Source organism: Homo sapiens, chromosome 4 (assembly GCF_000001405.40).
Source record: "Homo sapiens chromosome 4, GRCh38.p14 Primary Assembly".
NCBI lineage: Eukaryota > Metazoa > Chordata > Mammalia > Primates > Hominidae > Homo > Homo sapiens.
Genome location: NC_000004.12, coordinates 128,755,904 through 128,780,687, shown reverse-complemented (window position 1 = coordinate 128,780,687; position 24,784 = coordinate 128,755,904). Strand labels below are relative to the sequence as shown.

At 41.9% G+C, this 24,784-nt stretch overlaps 1 non-coding gene across 1 annotated transcript, besides 1 other annotated feature; it reads right to left on the bottom strand.

Moving 5' to 3' along the window:
• Window positions 4,270-4,791: an enhancer, noted in NCBI's record as "NANOG hESC enhancer chr4:129697052-129697573 (GRCh37/hg19 assembly coordinates)". NCBI's record gives its function as "activates a minimal SCP1, AML or CMV promoter by ChIP-STARR-seq in primed H9 embryonic stem cells {active_cell/tissue: H9 hESC(primed)}" and the evidence as "EXISTENCE:reporter gene assay evidence [ECO:0000049][PMID:30033119]".
• On the bottom strand, window positions 24,559-24,662 carry LOC124900905 (small nucleolar RNA U13). Its single transcript, XR_007058547.1, has one exon. It is a non-coding gene; the product is annotated as a small nucleolar RNA U13 (small nucleolar RNA).
• Window positions 24,663-24,784: the final 122 nt, after the last annotated feature.

Sequence of the window (24,784 nt, the reverse complement as noted above, 5' to 3'; positions counted from 1 at the left end):
ATTCTCCTTACAGCAGCTAGGGAGATCTTTTAAATAAATCACTCAAATCCCATCACTTCTCTGCTTCCATACCCTTTAGTGACTTCCCATCCCACTTAGGAGAAAATGCAGGCTGCCTACCATGGCATGTGAACCCCAGACATCAGTGAGTCTTAACTAGGTTGCACACAGGAATCCCCTGGGATCTTTTGATGCCTGGGCCCCACCTTGGATCAAGTGAATCAGAATCTCTGGAGGAAGGCCCCACATGTTTCTTAAAGCTCCCCAGGAAATTCTAAACAGCTCTCAGGTTTGTGAGGTCCTGACAGTGTGACCTGACCCTGGCCCTTCAACTTTATCACACACCACTCTCCTCTTCCTCTCAACCCTCTGAACACAGCAGTTTTATCCCCATCTCAGGGATTTTGTGCTGGTGTTTCTTCTGCCTGGAATATTCTCTACATTTTACTGTGACTTGTTCTTTCTTGTAATTCAGGTCTCAGCTGAAATGTCACCTGTTCAGACGGTTTTCCTGCTCACCTACTCTAAAGGAGCCGTACGATCCCCACAGCATGTCATCTGTTCAAATGCCCCATATCACATTTGTTTTTGTTTTGCTTTTCTCTTTTCTTTTCTCCTCTTCTCTTCTTTTCTTTCAGAGTCAGGGTCTCACTCTGTCACCAAGGCTGGTGTGCAGTGGCATGATTACAATCATAGCTCACTACAACCTAGAACTCCTGGGCTTAAGTAATCCACCCTCCCCAGCCTCCTGAGTAGCTGGGACTACAGGTGCGTGTCACCATATCCAGCTAATTTTTTTTTTTTAATCTCTTTGTAATGATGGAATTTTGTCATGTTGCCCAGGCTGGCCTCAATCTTCCCACCTCAGCCTCCCAAGTCATTGAGATTACAGGCATGAGCCACTGCACCCAGCTTACTTATTTCTACTATTGCCTTGTTGGTATATTTTTCTGCGTGATTGTCTCCCCCTCTAGAATGTAAAACCCATGAGAACCTTGTCTGTATTGCTCATCCCAGCATCCCTAGTATTTATAAATGTGCCTGAAACATAATAAGGGCTTAATAAATGTTTGTTGACAGCGTGACAGAATACATCAATGGCATGACCATATTACCCAGGAGAGGGGGCAGGAATCCCGAAGGTTCCTCAAATTTTCTTTCTTTTCCCAGGGTGTTAGGATGAGGTAGTAGATTTTCAGGAAAATGGAGACTCTAGTCTAAAAGAATTAAACCCAGGTACTAGAGTTCATTAGGTTCTAAGTGGCAGAGAGGTTGTTTTCTGCCTCTAGAATCATATATTTGGTCCTAATTTGATGCTGTGCCTATTGTTGATACTAAATTCATATTTTTCTATTAGTCGTGAAATAACTATGGTGTGCTTTGAGGGGCTAGAAGGGATGTGAGACCCAGAGGAGATGTTAGGTATAGGGCTAGACCTGGAGAAGACAACAGTATATGAGTGGGAATTAAAAATTTTCCCTTAAAAGAGACAGAAGTATCTTTTGTTATTTGTGTCTCTATCCTCACGTTAGGGAGCCACCACCAACTCAAAGCATGAAATTCAGTTTAATCTCTTCTGTCCAGTTGGATCTCAATGCACCCTTCTATATGCAGTTTCTTTTGTTAGGCAAGACAGTATATTAAAGCAATGTTTAAAGAAATTTAAAGAGAAAGGAAGGGAAGGAGTGACACAGGGAAGAGGAGAAAAAGGTGACAAGGAAGAATTCATGAGCATCTTCTATGTGCCAGATACAGGCTTCAATTGAGGATTGAATGTTTAGGCATTTACTTATTTATGATACTTTATCTGAAATCAATATAATTATACTCATTTTTTTTTTTTTTTTGAGGCAGAGTCTTACTGTGTCGCCCAGGCTGGAGTGCAGTGGCGCGATCTCGTTCACTGCGAGCTCCGCCTCCCAGGTTCACGCCATTCTCCTGCCTCAGCCTCCCGAGTAGCTGGGACTACAGGCGCCCGCCACCACGCCCGGCTAATTTTTTGTATTTTTAGTAGAGACGGGATTTCACTGTGTCAGCCAAGATGGTGTTGATCTCCTGACCTCGTGATCCGCCCGCCTCGGCCTCCCAAAGTGCTGGGATTGCAGACGTGAGCCACCGTGCCTGGCTTTTTTTTTTTTTTTTTTTTTTTGAGATGGAGTCTCGCTCTGTCGCCCAGGCTGGAGTGCAGTGGCACGATCTCAGCTCACTGCAAGCTCTGCTCCCGGGTTCACGCCATTCTCCTGCCTCAGCCCCACGACTGGCTGGGACCACAGGCACCCGCCACCGCGCCCGGCTAATTTTTTGTATTTTTTAGTAGAGACGGGGTTTCACCGTGTTAGCCAGGATAGTTTCGATCTCCTGACCTTGTGATCCGCCTGCCTCGGCCTCCCAAAGTGCTGGGATTACAGGCGTGAGCCACCGTGCCTGGCCTGTTAATTATACTCAACTTACAGATGAGAAAACTGAATGCGGCTTGGAGAAAAGTTACTTTCCTTTTAAGTATGCTTACCACTTACTTGTTATAAAAAGATTACATAAAAATATACAAGACACAGGCCTGGCGTGGTGGCTCACGCCTGTAGTCCCAGCACTTTGGGAGGCTGAGGCAGGTGGGTCACAAGGTCAGGAGATCGAGACCATCCTGGCTAACAGGGTGAAACCCCGTCTCTACTAAAAATACAAAAAAAAAAAAAATTAGCCGGGCGTGGTGGCAGGCGCCTGTAGTCCCAGCTACTCGGAAGTCTGGGGCAGGAGAATGGCATGAACCCAGGACGCAGAGGTTGCAGTGAGCCGAGATCATGCCACTGCACTCCAGCCTGGGCAACAGAGTGAGACTCTGTCTCAAAAAAAAAAAAAAGAAAAAAAATATATATATACAAGACACGTACATCAAGTATACAGATGACATTATCAATGGAAAAGCCATTTAGTGTACTAAAGATAGATCAAAGATTCAAACTGATCTTGCCAGGCTAGAACATTAGACTAAAAAGTTAGATACAGCATAGTGTATAAAATGGAAATCCTGCAGTTAGCTACAAAGGTACAGAAAGAAAGGCAACTAGTTTGGCTGGATTTTGTGTAAAAGCAATTTTGTGGATTTGGCTAGCTGTTAGTTTAATATAAGCCAATAGTAGATGCTAAAAACGTGAATAGGACCACTTATAATCATTTCATGATGGTCCTTACCTTATTTGACTTCTTTCCAGTATTTATCACTAGAGACACTTTAAAAATTATCTTCTCTTGTCTTCTGTTCCATCTCATTATCTTTCCATCTCTGAAGCAGATCCTCATGAATATTAAAACTAATAATAGAGTAGCCTTCATTTATTAAGGGTTCTGTGTTAAGTACACATATTACTATTATTTAATCCAACCTCTTAACAGCACTAATGAAATAGGTATAATTCCTCCCCATTTTATAGATGAGAAAACGAAGTGATTTTCCCATGATCCGACAGCTAACGTTAGTAGCACCTAACTCAGTCTCACTTCGGAGCGCATGCTCTTAATCACTGCACTCTTATGTCCCAGGTCAGTTTCTTTCAGAGCTTCATTTTACTTTGCTCATTTTCCTAAGTGTCAGCATTCTTTAGAGTCCTGTCCTCTGTCTCAGCTCTTCTGACTTCAGTACTCTTTGGTTAATCATCAGTAGACATCAGACTTCCACTGACAACTTCTGCATTGATGAATCCTGTAGCAGCTGCTGACAGCTGCTTACCCAAGAGCACTTACCCTCTTCACATTCGTCCTTGCTAGTAGGAGCCTCTATAAGCTTCAGAAGAGGCTGGCCCCATGCCCAACCCTGGCTCCAGGGAGTGAATCATGGTTGGTTTAAACCAAACACAGCTCCTTTTCCTTTTTCTGTGATTTAAGCACTGGGAGAGTGAGCTGAGGAATTTTTGAAAAAGGTTATCCTGGCTCTTAAACAGAAATATTCATTAATGGAAAAATCTCTCCTCTATCACATTGTTGTGTCTGTACGTGATGTCTGGAACTAAGGCAGCTATCTTGGTGCCTTTGTTTGTTTGTTTGTTTGTTTTTTGAGACGGAGTCTCGCTGTGTTGCCCAGGCTGGAGTGCAGTGGCGCGATCTCGGCTCACTGCAACCTCTGCCTCCTGGGTTCAAGCGATTCTCCTGCCTCAGTCTCCCAAGTAACTGGGATTACAGACATAAGCCACCACGCCCAGCTAATGTTTGTATTTTTAGTAGAGACAGGGTTTCACCATGTTGTCCAGGCTGGTCTCAAACTCCTGGCCTCAAGTGATCCATCTGCCCCAGCCTCCGAAAGTGCTGGGATTGCAGGCGTGAGCCACTGAGCCCAGCCTTGGAGCCTTTAATAATTTTCAAGAGTATGAAGAGCACCTAAGGCCAAAATGTTTGAGAATTGCTGACTAGTCCACCCTCCCTCACTGAAACAGTTTCCCACATGTTTGTTTTCTTATTGCTAGTCTGTTCATGGCCAACTGCAATAAGCCCATTCTTTACATTGCTATCAGAATGATCTTTCTAAATGCTAATCAGATCCCCTACTTAATCCTTCAATGGCTCCCTGCGGCTTTTAGCTTAATACCTAACACTCTACTTCTCTAATTTTATTTGTTCCTCTCCTCTTACACACATCCTTCACCCCAGCCATTCACAGTTCATCGAAGTTTCCCATCAGAAATGGTGTTGATTATTCCATGCCTCCCACAGCCTGCTCTCTCTCTTTTTTTTTTTTTTTTTTTTTTTCGGTCTTCAGAGCAGAGATGAAAGAGCTGAGAAACCAATAAGGATGCTTAGATAATCCAGAAGTTAACAACAACAGCAAGCCACTACCAATAGCCAGTCCTAAGGCTGAAGGAATAGAAGGAGATGAAGTCACCAGACCCCAAGGGTCAAGGTTACCCAGGAAAATCTAGAACCAGAATGGTTCTATTCTGCAGGTGCTGGGACCAAGAATGGGGCAGGCCACTGCCAATGGTGCCTTCCAGAGCTGAAGTTCCCCTCCGGCTCTTAACTCCCACTTGACACACCCTATCCCCTCATTCTCTAGCTAGCTACTCATGCTTGTTCTTTAAAATTCAACTTGAGAGCCACTCTCTACAGGAAGCTGCCTCTGAGCCCTCATTGTAATTTACCTGCCCCTCTTCTGTGCTTCCAATGTGTCTTTTATCATAGTGGTTCCTGTACAAGTACTAAGGAAAGAAGACAGCACGGTATGAAGTATGAGAATGAACAAAGTATGCACATGGACAATCCTTTCTTTTTTTTTAGAGACAAGATCTTGCTGTTTTGCTCAGGCTCTTTTGCAGTGACACCATCACTGCAACCTCGTACTCCTGGGCTCAAGGGATTCTCCCACCTCAGCCTGAGTAGCTAGTACTACAGGTGTGCGCCACCACACCCAGCTAATTTTTATAGTTTTTTGTAGAGACGAGGTCTCACTATATTGTCCAGGCTGGTCATGAACTCCTGGGCTCAATCCTTTTTCAAAAGACAGCTTTGTTGAGGTATAAATCACATACCATACAGTTACCCAGTTAAAATACACAATTCAATGGTTTTTAGTATATTCACAGATATGTGCAACCATTGCCACAATTAGAACATTTTCATCACTTCAGAAAGAATACTCTTCCCCTTTAGTGAACCACCCCTTGCCTCCAGCAACTACTAATCAATCTACTTTTTGTCTCTATGCATTTTCCTGCTCTGGACTTTCAGATAAACAGAATCATGTAACATGTGGTCTTGAGGACTAGCTTCTTTCACTTAGCACAACTTTTGCAAGGTTCATCTGTGTTGTAGCATGTGCCAGTATTTTATTCCTTTGGATAATCCTTCCCAACCACCAAAACTGGACTGTCCCAGCACTGTCACTGGACAATCAGCGTGAACCAATCGGTTTCACTTTGGTGAGATTTTCACTTGAATTCATTCCTTGCTTGTGCCTGCTATATGTGCTTCTTTACTTAAGCAAACACTGGCAGCTGGCCTTTGACCTTATATGAAGAAAAAAAATTAAAAATTAATTAGAATTAGAGATAGAATCCCCCACACCACTGTATGATTTTTCATCAATAGAATTCATAAGAAAACCACCTTAGACTCTTTCTTCATATAGTTCTAGTTGTCTCCCTAGGTATATGCAGCAGGAAAGACCAGACTGGTGACAGGGCTGATGTCAGTATAATAGTTTTTAGTTAATTGGTTCTCTCCATGGTCCTCAGACCAACAGCATCAGTATTACCTGGGGAACTTGTTACAAATGCAAATTCTCAGCTGGGGGGTGGTGGCTCATGACTGTAATCCCAGCACTTTGGGAGGCCCAAGGGGAAGGATTGCTTGAGCCCAGCAATCCTTGAGACCAGCCTGAGCAACATAGTGAGACCCCTGTCTCTAGCAAAACGTTTAAAAGTTAAAACAATTAGCCAGGCACTTGTGGTCATAAGCTACTTGGGAGGCTGAGGTGGGAGGATCACTTGAGGCCAGGAGGTCAAGGTTGCAGTGAACTGTAATTGCACCACTGCACTCCAGCCTAGGTGACAGAGCAAGACCCAGTCCCAAAAAGAAAAAGAAAAAAGAAATGCAAATTCTTAGGCCCCACTCCAGACCTAGTGAATCAGAAACTCAGAGTGGGGCCTAGTAATCTGTGTTTCAACAAGCCTCTAGGTGATTCTGATCTACACTTAAGCTTGAGAGCCACTGATTAGTTAATGGTATAGTACTATCAATATTGGCACATAGACATAAATTAATTACTGACTCATACCTTGTTTTGCGTCAAGTGTAAATGCCCAGTGGATGAATAAAAACACTGTTTAGGGGCTAAATAGCAGATTATTTTACATATACTGAATTTCTGTGCATTGCTAGAGCAGGCAACCCATTTTCTTACTCTTCCCTCCCATCTTTACTTCCTTTTAAAATAATACTTTGCTATAAACTTACTTTAAAAAATAATAAATCCTGATAAATGTATTGCCCTTACAAACTTACTTTAAAAAAATAAAAAATCCTAGTAAATTTACTGCCTTTACCATGAAGTTTATTTCCACTTCAGGTTGAGCAAATTTTGCAGAAAGCATCTCTAGAAGATCTCTACAAATCTTGGTTCAGGAAAAATTAATTCCTATGCGAACTCACATCAGACATAGATCTCTAGAGATCGCTCTTCCTAGTGAATGTTTTGTCAGCACAAAGACTATATCAGGCAGTGCATTTTTAAGCAACTGGTAGCATGATGTCTGTATTGATGAAATACTGGGGACTTTACTTTGACACAACAGGGACTTCATCTGGTCCTTTGTTGTTAAGACCAAACACTTTTTAGATACTCTGAGGATAGTCATTATCTCTTTCAGAAAGAACACCAGAATGGCTTATTCTCAGTTCATCTTAATAGATTTGACACATGGTTAGCAGTTTTGAAATTGTTAAAATGTTATTAAGTCTGATCAAAACAATTTTCTGTTAATAATTCTGATCAAAACAATTTTATTTGTCAAAATTCACTGTTGTGGTTCTTTTGAAATAGTAGTCATTATTTCCTCAGCATCTATTTTCATTTTGTTCTAAATACCATTAAAATTAACTTTTAAAACATCTTAGACACATAAAACCCTGATATGCGGTACTTACCATACACTGCCTCACACTGTTAATTATCATTTTATGTTATTTATGTCTCATTCCTCTACCAGATTTACTTTTCCTGGAAACAATTGTTATTTTTTGCATGTATTTGTTTGCCCCACCATGTCTCTCAGTGTCTTAAACATAACAGACACCCACCAAACACGTGTGTGTTCATTGATAGGTTTGACGGTAACTTGAAACACCCATTCCTCTGGTCAGGAATAGAAACTGTCTCAAATTAGGTAAGTTAAGAAGAGAAGCTGGGCACAGTGGTTCACGCCTGCACTTTGGGAGGTTGAACGGGAAGATTGCTGGAGCCCAGGAGTTTTAGACCAACCTGGGCAGCACAGTGAGAGCCCATCTCTACAAAAAATTTAAAAAATTGGCTGGGTGTGGTGGCACATGCCTGTAGTCCCTGCTACTTGGGAGGCTGAGGTGAGAGGATCACTTGAGCCCAAGAGGTCCAGGCTGCAGCAAGCCGGGATTGCACCATTGCCCTGCAGCCTGGGTGACAGAGCGAGACCTTGTCTCAAAAATAAAAGAAGAGATACAACAGAACACTTCCCAGATATACAAGGACATTAGTGAAGCACACCTAGACCGTATGGGACATGGAGCTGGACATTCAGGACCCAAGGCTAGTCCTTTCACCCTTCTTGGGGCCCTGTGGCAGCAGGTCTGTGCTTCTATCTGTGTGTCTCCTTCTTTCTCAAGCTTCCTTGAACAAACTGACTTCTTTTTTATTGTGCTATCTCCATTCTCTGAAAATATGAGTTTACCTTTGGCTTTGGTTTGTCATGGACCTACCCAACTACATATTTTACTTCAAGAGTCCATCAGCATCTAGTTAGTTCTATTTCAGTGGTCCAATTTCAAATTCCATAGAGAGGTCATCTGATGGGGTGATCTGGTACAATCAGTCATGAATAGGAAGTAAGACGTGTTGAGGAATCGGGAGGTATATAGATCTGCCTTTCCAAACTGTGGATGGATCAGTTTCACTAAGAAGGGGTCATGGGCAAGGAAGTCATGACTGGCACTTCTATTCCAATTTCTTTCTCTCTCTCTTTTTTTTTTTGAGACAGTCTCGCTCTGTTGCCCAGATTGGAGTGCAATGGCACGATCTCGGCTCACTGCAACCTCTGCCTCCTGGGTTCAAGCGAATCTGTCACCTCAGCCTCCCGAGTAGCTGGGATTACAGGCACCCGCCATTATGACCGGCTAATTTTGGTATTTTTGTGGAGATGGGTTTAACCATGTTGGCCAGGCTGGTCTTGAACTCCTGACCTCAGGTGATCCTCCCATCTCGGTCTCCCAAAATGCTGGGATTACAGGCGTGAGCCACCGCGCCCGGCCTTCTACTCCAATTTCTATTATACTACAACCTAGAACTCTGGCAGGTTTGCAGAATTTAGACATTAACTAGGGTTATAGATAAACTTCTTCCTTAATCTAGATCAGGATTGGCAACTATGGCCCTTGGGGCAAATCCAGCCCTTGATCTGCTTTTTTGTTTGTTTGTTTGTTTGTTTTTTCGTTTTTTTGTAAGAGCCAAGAATTATTTTAAATGAAGAAGAATAGGCGACAAAAGTCTTAAGTGACCTGCAAAGCCTAAAATATTTAATGTCTGGCCTTTTGCCAAAAGAGTTTGCCCGCCAGGCACGGTGGCTCACACCTGTAATCCCAGCACTTTGGGAGGCCGAGTCAGGTGGATCACTTGAAGTCGGGAGTTCGAGACCAGCCTGGACAACAAGGAGAAACCCCGTCTCTACTAAAAATACAAAATTAGCCGGGCATTGTGGCGCATGCCTGTAATCCCAGCTACTTGGGAGGGTGAGGCAGGAGAATTGCTTGAATCCAGGAGGCGGAGGTTGCAGTGAGCTGAGATCACACCATTGCACTCCAGCCTGGGCAACAAGAGTGAAACTCTGTCTCAAAAAAAAAAAAAGAGTTTGCCAATCTGCTTTTGGTTATATACTTCCTTCTTTTCTTTTCTTCATTCCTTTAATGACTCTTCATTGTTCTAGGTGCTGTTTTAAGTATTGGAGATGTGGTGATGTCACAAGACAGATGTGGTTAGGAGATTAGATTTTGTTGTGAGTGGAAAAGACCAACAATAGGCATATCCGTTAAATAAACAGGGCAATTTCAGATTGTAAGTGCTGTAAATAAAACAAACGGGGGATGATACTAACAAAGAGAAGACAGCCAGGGAAGGAGAAGCTATGGATTGGTAAGGAAGATTATTATTATTATTTTTTTTTTAAGATGGAGTTTCACTCTTGTCGCCCAGGCTGGGGTGCAATGGCATGATCTCCGCTCACTGCAACCTCTGCTCCTGGGTTCAAGCAATTCTCCTTCCTCAGCCTCCATGGTAGCAGGGATTACAGGCACCTGCCATCACTCCCGGCTAATTTTTGTATTTTTGGTAGAGACGGGGTCCCACCATGTTGGCCAGCCTGGTCTCGAACTCCTAACCTCAGGTGATCCATCCACCTTGGCCTCCCAAGTGCTGGGATTACAGGTGTGAGCCACTGCACCTGGCCTGAAGATTATTATTATTATTGTTTGAGACAGGGTCTCACTGTATCCCCCAGGCTGGAATACAGTGGTGCAAATATGGCTCACTGCAGCCTTGACTTCCCAGGATTAAGTGATCCTCCCACCTCAGCCTCTCAAGTTGCTGGAACTAGAGGTGCAAAGCACCACACCCAACTAATTTTTTCTATTTTTGGTAGACACAGGGTCTCACTATGTTGCCTAGGTTGGTCTCGAACTCCTGAACTCAAGTGATCCTCCTGCCTCAGCCTCCCAAAGTGTTGGGATTACAGGTGAGAGCCACTGCGCCAGGTCCAGTAGGAAGATCTTAAATGTGGAGATGATTTATGCTAAGACCTGAAGAACGAAAAAGAACCAGTTATGAGAAGATCAGCATTACAGCCAGAGGACACAAGGGGAAATAAGAGCTTGGCTTAGTCATGAAACCCCAAACAGGACCAGTGGTGTTAGCAGGAAAAAAAAAGTAGGAAATGAAGTCGAAAGGTAGTTAGGGGCCAAACTATGTAAGGCCTTGTGAGGAAGCCATTAAAGATTTACTGACACAGTAGATCCTATTTTTTTTTTTTTTTTTTGAGACAGAGCCTTGCTCTGTCACCCAGGCTGGAGTGCAGTGGCACCATCTCGGCTCACTGCAACCTCCACCTCCTGGGTTCAAGCAATTCTCCTGCTTCAGCCTCCCTAGTAGCTGGAATTACAGGCATGCATCACCACGCCTGGCCAATTTTTTTGTTTTTTGTTTTTCAGACAGAGTTTCACTCTTGTTGCCCAGGCTGGAGAGCAATGGAGCGATCTCAGCTCACTGCAACCTCCGCCTCCCAGGTTCAAGCAATTCTCCTGCCTCAGCCTCCATAGTAGCTGGGATTACAGGCACCTGTCACCACGCCCAGCTAATTTTTTGTATTTTTAGTAGAGACAGGGTTTTACTATGTTGGCCAGGCTGGTCTCGAACTCCTAACCTCAGGCAATCCACCCGCCTCAGCCTCCCAAAGTGCTGGGATTACAGGCATGAGCCACCATGCCTGGACAGATCTTATGGGTGTTTTAAAAATCTCTCTCTGGCTGCCATGAAATAGACTATGGAAGCAAGAGTTAGTTCTGTTTAAGAGGTTATGATAACAATTCAGGTGAGACATGATTTATATTAGAATGGTGCCATGAGAATGGAGAAAGTGGATGAATTAAGGTATTTTGAAGGGAGAACTAATGAAACAAATGGATTGGGTGTGAGGGGTGAAAGAAGAAAGGAATTAACATGAATCCTAGATTTCTGTTTGAGCAACTGGGTGGTTAATGGGGTTTGTTATCTTATCTGTATCATTTTTGATAACTGAGTAACTGCAACTCCAGAACTAAGAATTTTGCTTACATATTAAGAAAAATTTCAAAGCCAAAACAAAAACTATTTTTGATATTGAATTTTCTTAACTTTTACATACATACTTTCCTTCAAGGGATAATTGAATGAAAAGGACTTCTTTGCAAACTTCAGACTAGCCCTATAGTGAATGGAAATAATCTTCTTCTCTTCAGAATAATAGCTTATGCATGCTTTCTGACAGTGGATTGCCCTCTTAGGGCTGCCATTTTGTCCTGAGATTTGATGACTCTGGTTCTCCCTTTAGGAGATTGCTATGAAAAGGCAGAGAACCATTGGGGCCTGTTCAATAGGGCACACCTGGCTCTCTCCGTCTCCCTCATCAAGGCCTGTGGGGCATGATGAGAACTGGCATCAGCCTACTGATGCTGAGATTTGTTTTGAAGCATTCGAAGAGGAAGCGAATGCTCAGGGGAAGCTTTAAATTTCTTTCTACTTACAGAAGTTGAATTGCAAGAGCTATCTCTTTACCATTAATCACCAGGTCTAGTGTGAAGCCAGCCAACTTCAGAGAGTTAGTTAAAAGAGATGACTAATGACTCAACTCTCTCCTTATCTCACGCTCTCTTCAGGTTTGATCTCACCAGACACTCAGGCTGCACTTACCCACTTGAACAAGAGCTCTTCCAGTGTTCTGCAGTATTGAGGGAGTTCTGCGTTTAAAGGGGCCTGTCCTGTACCCCCGTCCAACTGACTGATGGGGAACTTCAATGCCCAGCCTGGGATATAAGTGGGGCCGAAGGTGGAAGAGTGAGAGTACCAGGTCTCTATACATGTCCAACTTGACCGTGATGGTTTAGGCATGACCTAGAATCCCTAGGAGGTCTTGATCATTTCAGTTTAAAATGACTCTTATTATATAGGGAATCTTTTTTGAAGTTAGTTCTTCTAAAAGTCTGCTTTTGGTCTCTGCTCACGGAGTTCTGTAAGAACTTATTTTAGAGATAAGCTTTCAAGGCTATCCCAATTGTTCCAACTTCAATGATCAAAACATCTGAGACTGTGTTTTGATTTGATTTCTTTGTAGCTATTTTATCACAAGGTTTTCAGAGTTTTAGATTATACTAAGCAATTACTGGTTACCTTTCCACAGATTCATTACAAAACCCCTGATTATATATAACCAAGTATTGCTCTCTCAATAATATTCCAGTGAAGCTTGTTGTTCAAATCTTATACGTTTCCAATGATGTCTTCTCTCCCTCATAAATAAGGGGCTCCCTCTGCTCCCCTCCACCAGGGCTGCTCACTCCCAAGAGGCCTTTTCCGGCTTCCAGTCAGGTACATCTTAAGTAATGAAGTCAATAGGGAAGAATCAAGGATGGAAATGTACCCAGTTTATGTCGATGGACTTGTTTAACTATTTAAGGCTGTATCTCACAGTCTAGTGTGTTGCAGTACGTTTTGTAAAGAGTGCTTGTAATCCCCTGAGCTTTCAAAATAGCTCTCTTTCCTATTAAGCCTGCATTGAGAAATGGGGTTAATTTGCCAGAGTACTTTTTTGTGATAATGACAGGACTTGCAGATTAGCTTGAGTGAATTGGCAAGGTTCTGTAACTAATAAAAAAATACACAAAAAAATTATAAAATTCGACTGCTTCAAGGTTCCTCATGAGAGAAACATTAAATATTCCTGATAGGCCAGTTTTGAGTCCACGCTAGCACATTAATAGATACTTAGGGAAAGATACCTTTCAAGTGACATATGACCCAACATTCCCATAACAGGAACTGTTCTGCTATTCAGAGGCTTGAAACTTATAGTAGTTGAACTAATAACGGATAAATTTCGTGAATTAGAAAATGCCTAATAAATTTTTTAGGTGATAATTATTTTGCCAGCCAGGCTATACGGCTCTTTGCTTTATTAGACCCATATACGAAATATTAAAATTCTGCCCTGAACTCTAGGAACACATTGCCATTTACTTAATGAACATGTGTTAAGTGCCTACCGAGTGTTAGGTACCATGCTAGGATCAGAAGATGAAAACCCCAACGTGTAATCCTGTCTGAACACTGGTGCTAAGAGATTCTGTAACCAACATTACTTTGGATTGGTTAAAACTATCTTTCTAGTTGCATGTGGTTGAACTTTGAGGACTGGGAAAGAATGGGTCCACTGTCCTAATGGTTAGAAGCCTCTGGCCATCAGTGTTCATTACTGGCCATTTATTAGCTGCCTTGGGAGCCTCGGGGCAGGTTCCAACCAGATACATAGTTATATTAACACTGGAAGGTGCTAAGACATCTGCCTTCGAGTTTGGCAAGCTCACTCATAACACCAAAGGAAGAGAAGAGAAACACTTTCTGTGTCTCTGAGCAAAGACCTCTTCTGTGTTTAGCAAAAACCAACCAAACCAATCAAATACTTCCTCAGCTGGAAGACAAGAAAGAAAACTTTTTTGTTATACATAGAGGGGGATGGGTCACATTTTTACAGGGTTTCATAGACCACTGACTTCATGACCCCCCCTTTTTTTTGTGATGACCCTTTTTTTGAGAACAGTTTTAGATTTATAGAAAAATTAAGACAGTAGAGAAAGTTCCCATATCACTTCTACCACCTCCCTCAGTTTCACCTATTATTGTATATTACCATTAATGACAAATATTAAAACATGATTAATATCTAAAATCCATACTTATTTAGATATCCTTACTTTTTAACCTAATGTCTTTTTTTGGTTTCAGGATAGTACATTATATTTTCGTGTCTCCTGAGCCACCTCTTGGATATGATAGTCTCAGAATTTCTGTTTTTTCAGCCGGGTGTGGTGGCTCATGCCTGTAATCCCAGCACTTTGGGAGGCCTAGAAAGGCAGATCACCTGAGGTCGGGAGTTCGAGACCAGCCTGACCAACATGGAGAAACCCCATATCTACTAAAAAAATACAAAATTAGCCAGGCGTGGTGGCACATGCCTGTAATCCCAGCTACTCGGGAGGCTGGGGCAGGAGAATTGCCTGAACCTAGAGGCAGAGGTTGTGGTGAGCCGAGATTGCGCCTTTGCACTCCAGCCTGGGCAACAAGAGCAAAACTCTGTCTCAAAAAAAAAAAAGGAATTTCTGTTTTTTCTTTCTTTCTTTCTTTCTTTTTTTTTTTTTTTGAGACAGAGTCTCAGTGTGTTGCCCATCCTGGAGTGCAGTGGCACAATCGTGGCTCACTGCAGCCTCGACCTTCTGGGTTGAAGTGATCTACCCATCTCAGCCTCCTGAGTTGCTGGGACCACAGGCACGTGCCACCATGGCCTGGCTAGTTTTTGTCTTTTTTGTAGAGATGGGGTTTTGCCATGTTGCCCAGGCTAGTATCGAACTCTTGGGCTCAAGGGATCCTCTCATCTCGACCTCTCAGAGTGTTGGGATTACAGGCATGAGCCACCCTGGGGTTCTGTGGTGTTGGGAAGATCACTGAGATACAGTGCCATTTTCATCACATCACACAAAGGCACATCTATTAACATGATTTATTACTGCTGATGTGACCCTTGATCACCTGGCTGAGGGAGCGTCTGGTTTCCCCAGCGGGCGGCTACTCCTTATCCCCATTTTGCGCATTCTACTCTTTGGGAAGCATAGCTCCCCACTCCTTGTGCAGCCCACACTCAAGGAGTGCAGAGTTATGCTCCCTTCATTATGGATGGAGTATCTACATACATTATTTGTCATTCTTCTGCAGGAGAGCATGAAAGATTTGTTTGTTCTCCTCAATTTATTAATTTATTCAATAATTTATTTATATCAGTATGGACTCATGAATACTGATATGTTGAGTTTTTTGTTTTTTTGAGACAGAGACTCGCACTGTCACCCAGGCTGGAGTGCAATGGCTCAATCTTGGCTCACTGCAACCTCTGGCTCACTGCAACCTCTGCCTCCCAGGTTCAAGCGATTCTCCTACCTCAGCCTCCCAAGTAGCTGGGATTACAGGTGCGTGCCACCATGTCCAGCTAATTTTTTTTTATTTTTAGTAGAGATGGGATTTCACCATCTTGGCCAGGCTGGTCTCAAACTCCTGACCTCGTGATCCACCCACCTCGGCCTCCCAAAGTGCTGGGATTACAGGCGTGAGCCACCATGCCCGACCTCTGATATGTTGAGTTATATAGTCCAATACTACTTTGTTATTTAGTTGCTTAAATTGTTTTCCCATTGGCTACTGGAAGTTCTACAGCTGGCTCCTGTGTACCTCTGACATCCTCCCATCAATGAGGGCAGATTTTTTGTCTGTTTTCATTTGTTCTTTGAGCTCTTCGTGACCCCTTTCTATTCTAAGAAAGAATCTGTAATCAGTCAGTCTCCAGTATTCAGATTCAGGCTGTAAGAGATATATTTTTTAAAGGTATCTGGGTCTAGTGTCTCAAATCTTATGTGGAAGGGTCCCATCAATTTAGGCTCACCCAAAGACATAAAGTCTCTGCTATCTACCTCCCATCCCTGCCCCTTGCCTGGGCATAGAAAGATGACTTAATTATATTTCTCAGTTCATGGTCCATGACCATCAATGGATTGTGTAAGTATCTGCTTTTATTCTACTTACTTATTTTCCTTTGCCCCAATACTCTATTTTGATTCTTTTTCCCTCCCCACAAGCCCCAGGAAACCATTCTAATGTGTATTCTTTTGGTTGTAGGTACAAAATGTATATGATTTTGTGCTCAGATATTATTAACTTACACAAATAATGACATATTATATATTTCATTTTTTATACAATTATATATATTTTTATTATTTATGCTTTTTTTGTTTGTTTATTATTAGAGATGAGGTTTCACTATGTTGCCCAGGCTGGTCTTGAACTCTTGGGCTCAAGCAGTCCTCCCACTTCAGCCTCCCAAAGTGCTGAGATTACAGGCATGTGCCACCATGCTTGGCCTAACTGTATTTTTAATGTCCTAAAAAAATCTAACTGGTATTTTGATTTGGATTGTATAAAGTTCGTAGATAGAATTCTAAAGAATTCAGAGATTTATAATTATTTTGTATCTCTTTTTATAACATACTGACTAAATAAAGGCATGGTCCTATATCTCTTCTACCAGTATCTGGCCAATCCATGTATATTAACAAGCTAAAATTTAATTGAATAGTCACCAAAGTAGATAGAACTGGTTTCAGAACACTAAGTGGGTGGCAAATAAATAAAAAATCAGTGTCATATGGCCAGGTGCAGTGGCTCACACCTGTAATCCCAGCACTCTGGGAGGCCGAGGTGGGCAGATCACTTCAGGCCAGGGGTTTGAGACCAGGCTTGCCAATGTGGTGAAACCCCATCTCTACTAAAAATACAAAAATTAGCTGGGTGTGTTGGTACATGCCTGTAATCCCAGCTACTCAGGAGGCTGAGGCACAAGAATCACTTGAACCTGGGAGACGGAGATTGCAGTGAACCGAGATCACACCACTGCACTCCAGCCTGGGTGACAGAGTGAGATTCCATCTCAAAAAAAAGAAAAAAAAAGAAAAGAAAAGAAATCAGTGTCATAAAAAGGCATTTATTAAACTCATAATTATTCTTGGTATTATACTAGATTCTGTACTAAAAAAGATGTACATGTGTATATCACATTATTTGGGGGTTTCCATTTAAACAGACAATATTGAGTGGCTAAACATATGCAAGATTTCAGCACAATAAAAACTAAACTAGGCCAGACGCAGTGGCTCATGCCTGTAATCCCAGCACTTTGGGAAGTGGGAGCAGGAGGACCACTTGAGGTCAGGATTTCATGACCAGCCTGGTCAACATGGTGAAACCCCGTCTCTACTAAAAATACAAAAATTAGCAGGGTGTGGTGGCACATGCCTGTAATCCCAGCTACTCAGGAGGCTGAGGCAGGAGAATGGCTTGAACCCAGGAGGCAGAGGTTGTGGTGAGCCAAGATTGTGCCACTGCACTCTAGCCTGGGCAACAGAGCAAGACTCCGTCAAAAACAAACAAACAAATAAACAAACAAAAACACCTAAACTAAACTAATCAGGGAATGGACTAATGTATTTCTAGCATACAAAAGTGCAGAGTAAATGCATATTGGGAGTGAGAAATGGGAGAGTAGGACAAGAGAGATAACCAGGATAGATAAAGCATCTGAACATAATAAAATTTAGTTTTATCTGATAAAAGTAAGCTCTAAAGTATGCAAAATAGACTGCCACCTGAGTAAAAGGAAAAAAAAAAACAATAACATAGCTATATATTTTTTCTTATATATATATACTTTAAATATGTCTGGAAGGATATAGAAAATCTAACAACATTGGTTGTTTGCAGAAATAAGAACTGATTGGTTAGAATGGGAACAGAGAGGAGAAAAAGACTTCTTAGTGTATACATTTATATTTTTTAAAATTTGAATCATGTAAATTATTTAAAGATTAAAAAATTAAACTTTAAAAGTTGACGGGTACATAAAAGAAAAATAAATTTTCAGAATGTTTATGATATGAAATAGAAATAATGGGTATGGGCTGGACGTGGTGGTTGAAGTCAGGAGTTCCAGACCAGCCTGGCCAACATGGTGAAACCCCATCTCTACTAAAAATACAAAAAATTAGCCGGTTGTGGTGGCACGCGCCTGTAGTCCTAGCTACTCGGGAGGCTGAGGCAGGAGAATCGCTTGAACCCAGGAGGCGGAGGTTGCAGTGAGCTGAGATCACACCACTGCACTCCAGCCTCGGTGACAGAGCAAGACTTCGTCTCACACACACACACACACACACACACAAAGAAAATAAAGAGGTAATGAGTATGCATGTGTACACACTTGCACAAATGCATCCAGAGAATTTGGTACCACAATGCCACTAATTCAACCCTCTATTAGTAAGGGGAATAAAAGGATGAGACTATGGCAGAATTTCCAAGTCAGTTATCAAAACCTCCAGGCTACATATCATTGATATGATACATTGATATGAATAGGGCAGACCAGAAACTAGTTACTGAAGGTGTGAGTCTCAGTCACCTTCAATGTCCTGCAGTAATCTTCAAAACTTTGGAGTCCAAAGGATATTTAGCCATACGGTAAATCTCAGCTTAGTCTCTCACACTGCCTGCTATGACACATCTTGGAAAAGCAACTTGGTTGGCTTCTTCCTCCCAGCCAACTGAAAGCTATGTCCAAAGTTTAATGATGGAGTATTGATCTGTAGAGTATAAGAATTGATAATCACTCAGCTATTCCAGCAAATTCATTGCCAACTATTAAAAGATTATAGACAATTCACTGTAAACAACAGAAGAGAGATAGCTTTTCTGTAGTCTCATAGGAGCAAGAGCTAACAGTGAGGCTCAACAGCCTTTTTCTTGGCTCCTGGTCAAAATCTTACATTTTGTAGATAATTCCTTCTCAAATGATAGATATTTCCTACCTTGACTTATATATCTGGGTTTTATACTTGCTACCACCAGCATATGTAAATTTACCATATCATCTTGACAATTCGCCTGCAATACATGAATAGCACATTCATGTCACAACTACATCTTTCTATTTTTTTATATCGTTCTCTCTCTCTCTCTCTATATATATATATATATATAGATATATATATATATTTTTTTTTTGAGATGGAGTCTTTCTTGCTCTGTTGCCCAGGCTAGAGTGCAGTGGCGCGATCTTGGCTCACTGCCAGCTCCACCTCCCAGGTTCATGCCACTTTCCTGCCTCAGCCTGCCAAGTAGCTAGGACTGCAGGCGCCCGCCACCATGCCCGGCTAATTTTTTTTTTTTTTTTTGTATTTTTAGTAGAGACGGTGTTTCATCGTGTTAGCCAGGATGGTCTCGCTCTCCTGACCTTGTGATCTGCCCGCCTCGGCCTCCCAAAGTGCTGGGATTACAGGTTTGAGCCACCGCACCCGGCCTATATCATTGTATATTAAAATTCCTTTAAATTAAGTTGTGCATGTTGATTTGTTTTTGTTTTCAGATGGAGTCTCGCACTGTTACCTGGGCTGGAGTGCAGTGGTACAGTCTCAGCTCACTGCAACCTCTGCCTCCAGGGTTCAAGTGTTTCTCCTGCCTCAGCCTCCCGAGTGGCTGGGATTATGGCCACATGCCACCATGCCCAGCTAATTTTTTGTATTTTTAGGAGAGATGGGGTTTCACCACGTTGGCCAGGCTAGTCTCAAACCCCTGACCTTATGATTTGCCCACCTCGGCCTCCCAAAGTGCTGGGATTACAGGCGAGAACCACCATGCCCGGCCATGCATGTTGAATTTTAAAATCACATATTACTTCCAGCATATACAGTCTGATTTCTGGTTACATTAAAATTTATCCTTATTGAGTCTCTTCTTGTTCTTTTTAAAATTTTTGAATTGTATTCTATGCAATGGTTCTACTTAGAATTTTTCATATAAAATAATTTTCTCTGAAAACTATCATTTAACAATGATCTTATAATATTCCTTCCTGATACTGGTGAAAATTATATGACTTATTTTTAAACTGTCTTCATTATAACTTTTTTAGAATCATGGATATAAACAAAGATTATGCTATAAGGATATATTAGCATTATGTCTAGTGGTGGATAATTAGGAACAACTAACTACTTAAAGTACTTTAAGAACTGGGCCAGGCACAGTGGCTCACACCTGTAATCCCAGCACTTTGGGAGGCCAATGGGGGAGGATCACTTGAGGTCAGGAGTTTGAGACCAGCTTGGCCAACATGGTGAAATCCCGTCTTTACAAAAAATGCAAAAATTAGTCAGGCATGATGGTGCGCACCTGTAATCCCAACTACTCGGGAGGCTGAGGCAGGAAAATCGCTTGAACCCGGGAGGCGGAGGTTGCAGTGAGCATGCCACTGCACCCCAGCCTGGGCGACAGAGTGAGACTCTGCCTCAAAAAAAAAAGCACTTTAAGAACTGAAGGCTTTTGGCTAGTCACAGTGGCTCACACCTGTAACCCCAGCACTTTGGGAGGCTGAGGCAGGCAGCTCATTTGAGGTCAGGAGTTCGAGACCAGCCCAGCCAACATGGCACTGTCTTTACTAAAAGAATACAAAAAAAGTTAGCCCGGTGTGGTGGCAGGTGCCTGTAACCTCAGCTACTTGGGAGGGTGAGGCAGGAGAATCGCTTGAATCCAGGAGGCAGAGGTTGCAGTGAGCCAAGATCATGCCACTGCACTCCAGCCTGGGCTACCATTTTGAGACTCCATCTCAAAAACAAACAAACAAAGGAACTGAAGGCTTTCTTCTTTTTTTTTTTTTTTCAGACAGAGTCTCGCTCTGTCACCCAGGCTGGAGTGCAGTGGCGCGATCCTGAATAGCTGGGATTACAGGCATGCGCCACCACGCCTGGCTAATTTTTGTATTTTTAGTAGAGACGGGGTTTCACCTGTTGGTCAGGCTGATCTCAAACTCCTGACCTTGTGATCTGCCCACCTCAGACTCCCAAAGTGCTGGGATTACAGGCGTGAGCCACTGCGCCCAGCCTGAAGACTTTCTTATTATTGGACACCTTCTCCTCTGGCTTCCCTCTGGCCTCCCACTGCCTGTTACCTAAGAATATCAGGTAGAAGTCTGTCGAATGTGATGAGGTTTATACAAAATTTTTAGGTGGTCCAAATCCTGAAACTCATCTTCTTACTGAAACACTGGAGGGCTAAACTTGATTTAGAGCTTTATTAATGAAAGCAAATAAGAATTTCTATAAAAATTCAAAATGCTACAGCAGCCAATTCCGTGAACTCTGTAGCCAGATGGCTTGGGATCAGATCTGAGACTACTACTTACTAACTGTGTAACCATGGACAAAAGAGTTAACCTCTCTGTGCCTCATTTTTCTCACCTGCAGAATTGGGCTTATAATAGGACCTGGCCCATAAATCTGTTGAGAAAACTATGGGTGAATATATAGAAGATATTTTGGATGGTGCTGATACAGTAAGTTTAGGTATTGTTATCCAAGTAAATAATTTGTGAATCTACCAACTTGGTATACTAATTTTTTAAAAATTTTCTTTCATATAGTTTTTTTTGTTTGTTTCCTTTTTAGAACAGTTCTAGATCTCCATCGTTATAAAAGAGTATTACCGTGTTGGTGTACCACAATTTCTCAAGAAAAACATTAGCTAAGCCCAAGCTGGATTTTGGTGGGTGTCACAGGTCATTTTTTCCTCCATTCTATTTCTTTCTCTGAATTCTTTCTTCTCATTGTCAACCAGATGCCACTTAAGGTGATAATAAAATTGAGACAGAAGTTAGGAAGGAAAAAGCAACCTGACTTTCAGAGCCCTAAGAGATTTTTATGAGCAAAACAAAGAAAGATCCCAACATTATACCTAGTAAATGCTCTAGGAGGATAAAAAGTGACAACAACCTCCACCAATAAAGTGCAGTCACTATAGAAGCTTTTCCACATCAGAACACTCTGACCTTACTCTGAGAGCTTCTGGCTGCATAATCCTTTCATGGACGTTATATGCACTAGAGGGGACAAGAGCAAGAAGAGAACAAGGCACTGAGTTTCAGAGTGACTAAGGTATAGAAATTCAGAGGAAAAGCAGAGGCAGAGGAGCGATTAACAACAACAACAAAAAAGCAGCACAAGATTTGACAAAGAGGCAAGGGGAACAGGAGTGGAGATGGGGAATGAGATAAGAAAGCTGCACATCCAGGGAGAGATATGGGGAGAAATGCAGTGCTTAGTAGATGGCAATAAGTAGAGTTCTGCTTTGAAAAAAGAAATCAAAGGGCAAAAAAGAAAAAAAAATAGAGAACATATGGGGAAATAACTAGAAAGCAGCTGAAAGGGTTGCACCTGGAAGGAAGAAAAAAATAAGTAACATGTATTCATAACAATGTTTGAGAGAGGGAAGAAAGATTTTCTTCCTCTTCAAGATTCCCATCCCCTCTAAAAATACAGTCACTAAGATGCAGCCATCTTTGTGGTATTCATTCCTCCAATCCCATTTCCCCCTTCTCTGACATTTATTTTCATTCAAGTCAGTTGCCAGTCACTCTTACTAGAAACTCGCCAAATCATATTTCAAGAATTTGTAAAAGACAACGTTCTCGGCAAGGGGGTCTTAGAGGTTGGCTTTTTCTTTTGGTCATGTGGCATCAGGTTATCCCTGACAGCCACACAGCAGCAGGCAAGATGAAACTTAGTTTACAGGTTGGAGCTAAGGGCTCAGATTACTTCCTCATGTGACCCAGTTGGCTTTGCTTTCTTCTGTGGCAGCAAACTGAATCTCGAGCCCCAGCCAGCTGTCACAAAGCTGCCAATGGTCAAAGGATGTCCAGGCTCTTAATATAGCCTGAGGAGCCATGCAAGGCACAACTTAGCCCAGAGAGGGCCAGGATTAGAACCTCTTGTCCTAGCTCAATGCACTTTCACTACAGAGACCAGATATGAGCAGTTGAAACATGACTGTGTAAGATTTGGGAAAAGGGGTCTCATTTACTAGGAGATGACTATTTGGGTAACTTTTTTTTTCTTCTTTCTTGCCTTCTACAGGACTAATAAAGTTTTCTTGTTTTTTCTCCCTGCCCTCTCTTTCCTTTTCTCCACATTCTGGTTTGGAAGCTATGATATTTCATTTCTTTCAGTCATTTCCATTGATTAAAAAAATACTATGGAACTTCTCAAACACACTCAAATAGAGATAATAGTATGAACTTCCCAACGTATCTGTTGCCTAACTTCAGCTAACAATAAATAGCCACTTTTGTTTCACCTATATACTTATATACCCACCTACAATCTCACCCCTGATTATTTAGAAAAAATTCTAGATAATACATCATTTCCTTGTATATATTTTAGTATTATGTCTAAAAGATAAGAACTATTTTTTGAGACAGGGCTTTCCTGTGTCACCCAGGCTGGAGTGCAGTGGCAGGATCATAACTCACTATAACCTTGAACTCCTGGGCTCAAACAGTCCTCCTGCCTCAGCCTCCCAAAGTGCTGGAATTACAGATGCGAGCCACTGCACCCAAACAAAAACTCTTTTTTTTTTAAGCAAAATTATAATGTTACCATCACATCTAAAAAAATTAACAATAATTCCTTAATATCATCAAATATCTGGTCATTGTTCACACTTCCCCAAATGACTTCTTATTATATTTTTCTTTTTCTTCTTTTTTTTTTCCTTTCTTGAGACAGGGTCTTGCTCTGTTACCCAGGCTAGAGTGCAGTGGCATGATCATGGCTCAATGCATCCTCCACCTCCCGGGCTGAAGAGACTCTCCCACTTCAGCTCCCTGAGTAGCCGGGACTACAGGTATGCACCACCATGCCTGGCTAATTTTTGTACTTTTTGTACAGACAGGGTTTTACCATGGTGCCTAGGCTGGTCTTGAACTCCTGAGCTCAAGTGATCCACTTGGCCTTTTAAAGTTCTGGGATTACAGGTGTGATCCACTGTGCCTGGCTTTCTTCTTCTTTTACAGTTTTTGTTTGGATCCAAATAAGGCCCATGCATTGCAACTGATTGCTAAGTATTTTAACTTTCTCCCCACATCTGCACCCATTTACCATCCACCCCATCACTCTCTGTTTTATTTTTAAATTTTTTTATTGAAGAAACTTGGTTTTTTGACCTACTGAGTTTCCCATAGTCTAGATTTTGCTGATTCCATCCTTATACTGTTTTTTTAAGAAAATGTGTTACAGTGTTCCTTGTTATTTCCTGTGAAATGGTAGTTAGAACTAAAGGCCTGATCAGATTCAACACTTGGTTGTTATTGTTGGCAACACAACTTAATGGGTGATGTTGCACACACCTATCAGGAGGCACATACAATGTTCAAAAGTCTCTTCTTATGACATTATCAGACATTGATAGTCATTGCCTAGGGTCAGCAGCTAATTAGGGGTTACAAATGGTGATTTTAAAAATTGCTTCTTTTTTATCTGAAATACTTTTGTCGACAAATGTTTCTTCAATGCTGGCAGGTAGAGTATATGTAAAGACAAGATAAATTCTTAATTCTCTCTATTAACCCAATTTTATTTTGTTTTATTTTATTGTTTTCATGTTAGATGGATAACATGCTGATGTTGTAACAAGGCTGGAGCGTGACACATCTCACACATGCACGTGAACACCCAATTACCACGCCTATGAACTACAAAAGCATCTAAGCAGATTTTAAATTAGCCAGTTGTTTCCCTAGGATCCTCCAAAGGTGATCAATACAGTTTGTTTTTTTCTTGGTGGAGGGATCTCATGATGAACTAATGAATCTTAACATGAATTGTA